At 54.0% G+C, this 10,263-nt stretch overlaps 1 protein-coding gene across 11 annotated transcripts in view, besides 1 other annotated feature; it reads right to left on the bottom strand.

Moving 5' to 3' along the window:
• The window catches only part of ZMIZ1 (zinc finger MIZ-type containing 1), a 247,554-nt gene that overhangs the window by 97,430 nt on the left and 139,861 nt on the right, over positions 1-10,263 (bottom strand). For all 11 annotated transcript variants that reach the window (XM_047425538.1, XM_047425539.1, XM_005269988.4 and 8 more), the window contains one exon: positions 2,816-2,921. In XM_047425538.1, coding sequence (XP_047281494.1) covers positions 2,816-2,921 — 106 coding nt within the window. The remainder of the gene's footprint in view (positions 1-2,815; positions 2,922-10,263) is intronic.
• Positions 8,592-9,466: an enhancer, noted in NCBI's record as "H3K4me1 hESC enhancer chr10:80969381-80970255 (GRCh37/hg19 assembly coordinates)". NCBI's record gives its function as "activates a minimal SCP1, AML or CMV promoter by ChIP-STARR-seq in primed H9 embryonic stem cells {active_cell/tissue: H9 hESC(primed)}" and the evidence as "EXISTENCE:reporter gene assay evidence [ECO:0000049][PMID:30033119]".

Below are 10,263 nucleotides of genomic sequence, written 5' to 3'. Positions count from 1 at the left end.
TCTGTCAACTGGCCACCTACATCCAGGCAGGCCTCCACGTCCCCCCACCCCCCGTGCAATCTGTTCTTTTATAGCCCGAGCTGTCATCACAAAATGAGCATTTAGCCATGTTCCCATTACTCTCAGGACAAAGACTGTGACCTCCAAGACAGGCCCTGAATGTTTCCGCTGCTGCTGACCTCTCCAGCCTCGCCTTTGCCATGTACCCCCTGCCTCTGGGCTCCAGAATCACTGCCTTTCTCTTAGTTCTGACAAAAAGCCGTGCATGCTCCCCTTCTACCTCAACACCTTTGCACAGGCTGTCCCCTTAACTGCAAAGACGCTCTTTCTCTTTTTCTTCACTTACTCAACCTTCAGGTCTCAGGGGAGACTGCTGCAACCCCAGAGTGGTCTGCCCTCAACAACACCCCCTTGCCATCCTTCACTTTTACTTTTCCTTCAAGGCACTTATCACAGCTTGAGCTTACACAGACAGACAGACAGACACACACACACACACACACACCCCTCTAATTATTTGATCAATGTTTTCCTCTCCCTCTAGACTAGGGGTCAAGAAGTATAGTTAATCACTAGGTTTTTTTGTTGTTGTTTCTTGGTTGTTGTTGTTGTTTTGAGACAGGGTCTTACTCTATCACCCAGGCTGGAATGCAGTGGCTCGATCTTGACTCACTGCAACCTCCACCTCCCAGGCTCAAGTGATCCTCCCACCCCAGCCTCCCAAGCAGCTGGGACCACAGGCGTGCACCACCGCACCCAGCTAATTTTTGTATTTTTTTGTAGATATGGGGTTTCGCCATGTTACCCAGGCTGGTCTCGAACTACTGAACTCAAGTGATCCACCTGCCTGAGCCTCCCAAAGTGCTGGGATTACAGGTGTGAGCCACTGCACACAGCACTTGTTTTCATAAATAAAGTTTTCGTGGAACCAGCCAACCCCACTCCTCTATGTACTATCTATGGCAGCTTTCACAGAGCCCCCAAAAGCCCCTGTCTGGCCCTTGATGGAAAAAAGCTTGGTGGCCCCTGCTCTGGACTATAAGTTTCTTAAGGCAGGACCCTTTCTGTTTAGTTGCCCTTGCAAATTCAGCCCTTGCTGGGTGCCTGCACAGAACGGGCACTTAAGAGGTATGTGTCTTTGATAAGTCATTTCTACCCTGTCAACATTGTATTGACTTAAGTCATTATTAAAACTGCACACTCCATCAGGAATAGATGTCCCTTGTGAGATTCCAAGACCATTTTCTAGCAAGCAGTTCAATACGATAGCAATATCCCAATGCAGGCGGGCATGTCCAGGGTCTCAGAGTAGCTACTGGCTAATGAGGCCACCACACATCTATGTGTGCAGCGCCATCCATGTGTGCAGACTGGAAACATACATGGAAAGAGGCGCAAACTCACACGCAAGAGATTATAAATTGAGCAGATTTATGGAAACACATCATGAGATGTCCTTACAACGTTTTCATGAAGGCTGTGTCTATATACACTCCAAAGAACTGACTGATGAATTCAGTGAAAACGTCCATTTTATTGTTATACAAGGGAAATAACTGTTTCTTTTTTTCTTTTTCAACTGCTTGTCCTGACTCCATAAGGAATGTTAACAATATCCAGACACGGTGCTAGGTACTTTATGTATTTCTTTCTTTCTTTTTTTTTGAGACGGAGTCTCCCTCTGTCACCCAGGCTGGAGTGCAGTGGCGCGATCTCGGTTCACTGCAAGCCCCGCCTCCTGGGTTCACGCCATTCTCCTGCCTCAACCTCCTGAGTAGCTGGGACTACAGGCGCCCGCCACCACACCCGGCTAATTTTTTTTGTATTTTTAGTAGAGACGGGGTTTCACCGTGTTAGCCAGGATGGTCTCGATCTCCTGACCTCGTGATCTGCTCGCCTCGGCCTCCCAAAGTGCTGGGATTACAGGCGTGAGCCACCGCGCCCGGCCTGCACTTTATGTATTTCTAGCACTTACAATGACCCCTGAAGTCAGGAGTCTCCTTACCATTCCTGCCTTCCCAGAAAGATCAGCTGAGGCTCAGAGACCACACACTTAGCAAGTGACAGGTCTGTCCGGCTTAAAGCTAGCAGGGTGCCTGTGGCCTAAGCCAGGTTATGAGGATGGTGGGAAATGTAAAATAAAACTGTATCTTTAAAGTGCTCAAAGCCCTCCCAGACAGAATGCTGCTTGGCACTCTCCATGGCCCCTGCTTACTGCAAGGTCAGGAGACCGCAGGTGATGACAAAGTTGCAATACGGAACCCTGAGTGTACTGATTCATTTTGTTTCGACTTTTGTGTTTCATTTTAAACAATTTTTGGGGAATGAATGAACGTAGTGGAGTATAAAGGTTAAGAATGCTGACTCTGAAGTACAGGCCTAGGCTTAAATCCCTGCTCTGCTGCCTTCCAGCTGTGTGGCCTTGGGAAATCTCCTCTGTGTTTGTGAGCCTCAGTTTCCTCATGTGTAAAATGGGGAGCTCACAGTGCTTATGCCAAGGGGTCACCGTGGTGATGGAGTGAGCTGATGCTGGTCCTGCCTGTAGCACAGTGCCTACTGCTGGGTTTGGTGTGCCTCGGGAGCCTCTCTGGCCCTGCAGTACCCCTGAGGCAAGTATACTCCCTGGGAGAGGCACGAGGACAGCCCCAACTGTGGGTCCCAGAGCCTGGTGGATGAGTTGCTCTTCCTCAGGGGTTCGCACTACACCTAGACAAATGGAGGCACCAGAAGGCAGGGGCAGCAAACAGGCATGGTTTATAGTCAGTTCCCCTCCCCACCTCCCAGTGACATCGCAGAGTCCCCCACGGACACCTACCGGCAGACTTCGGGGTGAACTTGTCTCGGTTTGCAGCACACACAGCCAGCAGTCTGTAGCCGAGGTCCAGGTCAAAGCCTTGCTGGGCTGCCACCCGACTGACCACCTGAAAGCAAGAGGGGAGGAGGGCAGGTGAGTCACGGAGCCCAGAGCCAATGGATATGCCCATTTTGCAGGTGAAGTGGGTGAGGTGGGCAAGCTAAGGCAGTGCCCCATCATTAGGCAGAGCCAGAAGTCCACTGTGCCTTCTTCAGTTGCTCAGCAAATACTGATGAACACCTCTTCCGTGCCAGGCCCTGGGATCCTGGCCCCGTCCTTAGGGGTTTCCCAGGCTGACGATGGGTCCAACACCAAAGCCATAGGCCCCGCCGCTTCCAAGGGCTCAGATTCGACCACATTTTAGAAGTCGGCTGGGGATCCTGTACCACCATCCTTAGGGTGGGCCCTAAGGGTCTCTGCTCCATCTGTGTGGCTCTTCCATCTCCCTTCCATGCCCTGGGCCCTCAGGAACTCCCCCACCCCTCACTGAGCTCCTGCACCCACTACTGGGGAGGGCTCACTGCCCTTCCTACTCCAGGGCTATCAGCACCACAGGGGGGCCTGTTACAAATGCAGACTCTTAGGCCCAGCCCTGCCCCTCCGAGTCAGCATGCATCTCATCTAAAGCAGTGATTTAGGCCAGGTGTGGTGGCTCACACCTATAATCCCAGCACTTTGGGAGGCTGAGGCAGGTGGATCACTTGAGGTCAAGAGTTCGAGACCAGCCTGGGCAACATGGTGAAACCCCGTCTCTCCTAAAAATACAAAAATTAGCCGAGTGTGTGGCAGGCGCCTGTAATCCCAGCAATTCTGGAGGCTGAGGCAGAAGAATCGCTTGGACCTGGGATGGGGAAGTTGCAGTGGGCCTAGATCGCACCACTGCACTCCAGCCTGGGCAGAACAGCAAGACTCCTTCTCAAAAAAAAAAAAAAAGCGGTGATTTAGAACAAGCTGCTTCCCACAGGGCTTCAGGTCAGAGCTGCTTAATCGACTAAGGCTTCCGGGATGGGGCAGGCATTGTAATGCTGCTCCGTGCCAAGCACCCTGCAGCCCCCTCAACCTCAGCTAGAAACCGCAGGACTCCCACGCTCAGCCTGGGGTCTGTCTCTAGCCTTAAGCCCCAGCAAATGGGGGGCTTCCATAACAGCAATGGTGTGTTTGGAGCCTGAAGGTCCCACCCATCTCCTTAAAATCTCAGAAGTAGGGACTGGCAGGGTGAGAGGCGGCAGACTGGGAGGGCCATCGGTCCCCTGGGGGGCAGTGTGGGACGGGGCGCTCCAGGGGACCCTTGGGTGGCTTTGCAAGCTGTTGCCGCTCTGGCTTCACTCTGTCCCCACCCATTCCCAGGTGTCCCATGACTCCCAGATCTGCTCCCTCACACCCGCCTTCCTCATGAACAGCAGCAAAATTAGCTTTCTTTATTAAGAAGGACCTTGGAAAATGGAGTCATTTAGAAAGCAGCTGGAGTGGCTATGGCTGAGTAGGGAGAGCACCCAGATGTGGTAGGCTGGTACTTCTGAAAAAGGGGGGACTCTGCTGCCAAGCCCCCAGGAACCACCTGCTCCAGAGGCGCCTGGAGGGGCCTCAGACTGCCATGGGGTTTGGCCTGGCCCCTAGATCCAACAGAATCGTTCCCCACGCCTGCCTTAAATCTCAGGAATTTGTGAAAGGGGCTCTGGGGCTAAAAGGGCTGGGAACACCACTTACCTAGGCCAATTTAAAACAACACTGGAGACTCAGAGAAATGTCCCGTGCTAAATCAGGGAGGAGCCAATGGGTTCCCCTTCCCAGGATCACCAGTGACTCTTGGAATGGGACTGTGGCCCTCCCTGCGCCCCTCTGTGTAGGGCTAATGTTTGAGCCAGGTTGGGAGGAAAAAGGATGTTGTTAGGTTAGGATGCTTGCTCAACGTCTCTGCTGCAAACAGAAGCCCCTGGCACAGAAGTCTTCCACACTCCTTAGGCCTCTTTCCCACGGGCTCTGTTTGCCCCTCTACATGTCCCAGTCTCTGGGACATCCTCACCATAAGTCTCACTGTCCACATAGAAAAACCAAGGTCCCTAACTCTTTATGGCCTGTTGAATATTTCAAGTCTGCAGGCAGACTCTCCTCCAGAGAGTGAGGAGGAAGATTCTGGGCTGGAGGGACCACTGCAGCTCATACGTGGACTCTGGTGCCCTCCCTCTTTGTAGAACTTCAGGTGGATGCCTGTGAGCACAGAGCGGCCTGTTTCGACTGGTGCAGTAGTGAGGCTGCTGTCAATGGGAAACACTGATGCTTACAAGTGCTGCAGTGAAAATGCTGGCTCCCACGTACATAGGTGCTTTGTATGCAACAAAGTGCAAATTCTTTCAGCAGCTCCACGAGATAGGTATTATTATTATTATCTCTGATTTACAGATGAGGAAAGAGGTTGAACAACACCTCAAAGCTGGTCAGTGACAGAGACAGGATGTGATCCAGGCAGTCTAGCTGAAAACTCTGGGCTCTTTCTGTGCTAAGACTTCTTTCTCAGTCCACAAAGGGTTAACGCCATAACTTCCAACCTGCACTGAGGACCCTCAGGCCCTGGGTTCAGGGCAGGAAGGCAAAAGTCCCCATGTTTGGCCAATACTGGCTAATCCTGTTGCTCTAGTTAAAAAGGAAAAAATACTAGCTAACTTGAGCTAGAGGGGCTTGGTGCTGTATGGCGGCTCTAAGGGCCAGCCGGGTGGGTGCTGGAGCAGGGAGTCTCTGCTTGTCACCAAGTCCCCTGTGCCCCAGCATTCAGAAGGGTCACTGGCTCCAATAGCCTCCTTTCACTGATGAGGAAGTCAAGGCCCAGAGAGGGCAGGACCGTGCTCAAGGCCACAGAGCACAGGTATGGCAGAGTGAGCTGAATCAAATCCTGTAACCCTAGAGTGCCTCATGCATTCCTATCCCCTGGGTTCCTCTGGCCCAGCCTGAGGACCCCCAGAAAGTTCTGTGAGGCAAGGTCTGACTGACAGTGGTGGGAGCGTGGGCTCAGCTGTGCAGCTTGTTTTTCAGAGAGGCCCATTCTCACCCCAGTGGTCATGATGCTCTCTGTGAAGGTCCTATAGGGTGCAAGGCCCCCTCCCCATAAAGGCCAGTGTGAGTGGCTGGGGCGCTGTGACCCTCTGTTGGCTGTCCAGGTACTGCTGCTTGACCCACGGTGGCGGGGTGGGGGTGGCAGGGGGAAGCACTCCTGAGGCTGCCCTGTCATCCTGGCTGCCAGACACCTAGACCCCTAGAGCCAGGGGACCTCACAGGTCAGGGAACCCAGCCTCACGCCACAGACAGGGAAACTAAAGTCCAGACACAAGACGGAGAACTTGACTGGGTATGGTGGCTCACACCTGTAATCCCAGCACTTTGGGAGGCTGAGGCAGGATAGCTTACACCCAAGAGTTCAAGACCAGCCTGGCAAACATAGCAAGATCTCATCTGTACACAAATTTTTTTTTTCTTTTTTTTTTTTTTGAGACAGAGTCCCGCTCTGTTGCCCAGGCTGCAGTGCAATGGCACGATTTCAGCTCAGTGCAACCTCCGCCTCCTGAGTTCAAGGAATTCTCCTACCTCAGCTACCCGAGTAGCTGGGATTACAGGCGTGTGCCACCACGTCCAGCTAATTTTCTTTTGTACTTTTAGTAGAGACAGGGTTTCACCATGTTGGCTAGGCTGGTCTTTAACTCCTGACCTCAGGTGTGCTTGGGATTATAGGCATGAGCCACCATGCCCAGCCCCATCTGTGCAAAAAATTTTTTAATCTGGTGTGATGGTGTAGGCCAGTGGTACCTAGGTACTTAGGAGGCTGAGGTGGGAGGATCATTTGAACCCAGGAGTTTGAGACCATCCTGGGCAACATAGCAAGGCCCCACCTTTAAGAAAAAAATTAAAAAAAAATTTAAAAATTGGCCTGGCATGGTGGCAGGTGCCTGTAGTCCCAGTTACCCAGGAGGCTGAGGCAGGAGGATCGCTTAAGCCCAGGAGGTCAAGGCTGCAGTGAGCAATGATCGTGCCACTGCATTCCAGCCTGGACGACAGAGCAAGACACTGTCTCTAAAATTTAAAAAAAATTAAAAAAAAAAAGAAGAAGACGGGTGACTTGCTTAAGGTCACGTGGTGAATTACATTAGTCCCACAAAGCAACTGAGTTGTCTTGAAAAGCGTCCAGCCTGCTGGTCACAAAACAGGAGGACAGGCTGTCTAGGGAATGCTGGAGAAGGGGTCTCCATTACTGGCAGGGGGCGGGACCCGAAAAGTCTTTCTGACTCTGACCTCCTCTGAAGCTGCAGGGCGTCCTCATTGGGGAGATGAAGGAGAGGCCTGCTGATGTGAAACCCGGTTCCCTCCTGGACCTGCTCTCCCACTGTCTCCTCTGTCTTCCGCCGTTCCCTAAGCCCACGGGAGGGAGAGGGCGCCCAGAGGGGCTGCTCTGCCCGACTACTGGAGGAGGAAGGGCCTGCTTCTGATGAGGAAGTGGTGGCCCGGGGCTTGTGCCGGCCCCTGGGGCAGGGCCTGGGGGTCCTGTGCTTCCGCATCCTTAAGTCTCAAGATGTGAAGCAGACGGGATGGCAGGGCCAGGTCTGGGGTCACTTTAATTGTGCCTGAGCTGCTTAGAAGTGAGTATGACAGAAATGTGTCCATTTGCTGCTCGGGGCTAAGTGATTTTTAATTTATATCCTCAAAGTAAGCCGGATCCAGAGGAATTTGGAGTTTGCTTCCAGAGGTCACCCCGGGGATTGCAGCAACCTGGAGGGCTCAGGCTGACACCTGGATAGGGAGGGTGTGTGTGCGTTTGTGTGGGGAGGGGACAGCTGTCTTGCCCCACCTAGGTCCCTTGGGACCTACCTCCCACATTCCGTTCTTCTCCATGGGGCAGGGCTGGGGCTGAGGATGCCTGGGGAACAGGGGCACCGGCAACAGGGCCCAGAGGCTCCCAGGGAGTCTGTGGGACCAGCCTGGGACTAGGGTAAGCTGCTCCTGCTCCCAGTGGCCTTGTTTGTAAAATGGGAGTGGTGACTCCCTGCCCACCTCAAAGGGTCTTTACAAGGATCCAAAGAGACAGTGGCTAGGGAAAATACCCTGAGCACTGAAGTGTCGTTTATGACAATCCCCACTACCCGCCACCAAGCCCCTTCAAGCTGCTGGCTCTACTGAGCTCTAAGGGAAGCTAGACTCAGGTCTCTGCAGCTGTGGCCAGGCTGCAGGAGTGGGGGCCATTCCACTAGGTACATGCCTTACACTGGAGGCAGGGAACAGAGGCCCAGGAGAGTGGGCACTGTCTATGCAGCCTCTCCTGCCATGGATTCCTCTCTGTCCAGCCAGATCTCATGAGGCCCTCTCTGGGCTCCCTCCTCCAGGAAGCCCTCCATGATCCCTCCATCCTGCCCTCAAAAGATGCTCCCTTCAGAGCTCCTGCCCCCATACAAATCATAGCCCATCACTCTCCTGCTGACAACCCTTCAAGGGCTCCCCATTGCCCTCCAAATAATGCCCAGACTTTCGCTTGGCCTGTGGGCCCTGTGTTAGCTGCTTTACACCTCCTTCCTCTGCCTCATCTCACATGCTTCTCCCTTCCCTGGGCTCCAGCCACCTGAGCCTTCTTTCTGTTCATGAACACAGCAAGCCTCAGGGCCTTTGCATTAGCAGTTCCCTCTGCCTGGAGCACCCTGCTCTCTCATCCTCCCAAGGAGGTCAACTCCTCAGGAGACATTTCCTGCCCTGTACCCTTGCCCCTTCTCCCAGAGCTCTGGCATATGTCCCTGTTTGCTCCTTTGTGGGTTCAATGTCAGGCTCCCCCTGGCAGGCCAGCCCCTTGACAATGGTCCCTCTGGGGCCCAGCACAGGGCCTGTCCCCCAACAAGAGCCCAGTGAATGTTCATGAATGAACGCATGGACAAGAGGACCGAGGCAGAGCCAGTTCCTGGTCCATCCAGGCCGGTGAGGGCCACTCTCTGATTCAGTCTCAAGTCCCCACATCCTAGATAGACAGGGTCAGGCTCGGGGCAATGTGCTGGAGACTGTGGCAGCCTGGCTGGACACACGTCACACAAGGTTCCCACCTCCTCCATCCTCTGCTGGGGTAGAAGTGAGGGAGCCTCTGGCAACATCTGTCCCTGCCCACATGGCTTAGCCTGGAACCAGATCCCCACAAAGAGGATTAGGGGGCTGGGGGGGCGGAGGGAGAAGGGGATCCCATGGGCTGAAGGATGAGGAAGACTGGGCAGTGCAGGTGGCTGCTCGATTTGGCCCGGTGGCCTGAGGGAGCCAGATGGTGCTGGCTTCTGACAAGCTGAGCAGCCCCAGGAGGGTCCTGGCTGCATCCCTGTCTGGCATCCCTAATGGCCAAGGGCATCCCCTCTGAAGACAGGCAGGCCTCGGCTGTAATCCCAGGCCCACCTCTAAGGCTGTGCGCCCTTGGGAAGTCAGTTAAAAGTCTCAGTTTCCTCCTCTGTAAAATGTGGGGGAGGGTTGCAGGCCAAGCTCACTGAGGGGATTTGGTGGGATGGTGTATTCTGTGGGCCGGCTCCCTGCCAGGCACAGAACAGATGCTTTGTCACGATAGCCGTGTTGCCGCTATTTCTTCCTCTCCAGGCCAAGGCCATGTGGGCCTTTTGTCTCCTTCCAGCTTTTCAGGAAGCCTGGTGCCCGTGGGCCATGCCCGCTGTTCCCGCCTGGCCAGACATCCTCTCCCAGCCTCAGGATAGGCGGGCTCCCCTGCCATCTGTTTACCCACATTCCTTTCAAAGTGGACTCAGGGCCTTCTGAGCAGCTGCCCTCCCTGGTCATCACACATATGGACACAGGCCACATGGCTGGGGACATTCTCAAGCTTCGAGTGACTTCCATGGGGCCCTGTTGGCTGGCAAGCTCCTTAGCCTGGCCGATCATACCACAAACTCTGGACCTGGCCTCTGCCCAGCTTGCAGCCTCGACCCTTCCTGTTCTCTGGGTTCCATCGGGTGTGTGGCCTTTTGCAGATGCTGTTCCATGTGCCCCAAGCACTCCTGCCCCCTCTGCTGCTTGTGCCCCGAGCACTCCTGCCCCCTCTGCTGCTTGTGCCCCGAGCACTCCTGCCCCTCTGCTGCTTTGCAGACTCCTGCCCATGGAGGGTAGCTCCTTTCCTCAGTTTTATGCACCCTGCCCCGCCACCCAGCCAGTTCAGGATTCCCTTCCCTGTGCTGCCTTCACTGTGGACATGATTTTCTCAGTCACTTCTTTACACATCTGCCTCCTCCGCTACAGAGGAAACCAGGCTCGGTGAAGCCTTATTCATCTTCAGTTTCCCTGGACTTAGCAGAGGGATCATACATGATCAATGAGAGATCAATGCTCATTTGGTTAGACGGATGGATGTAAGAGGGGCTCAATCAATGCTTACCTGAATGGATGGATGATGACAAAAG

The sequence above is a fragment of the Homo sapiens genome, chromosome 10 (genome assembly GCF_000001405.40).
Source record: "Homo sapiens chromosome 10, GRCh38.p14 Primary Assembly".
In the NCBI taxonomy this organism is placed as follows: domain Eukaryota; kingdom Metazoa; phylum Chordata; class Mammalia; order Primates; family Hominidae; genus Homo; species Homo sapiens.
Note: the sequence above shows the minus strand (reverse complement) of the source record. Positions and strands in the feature narration are given on the sequence as shown.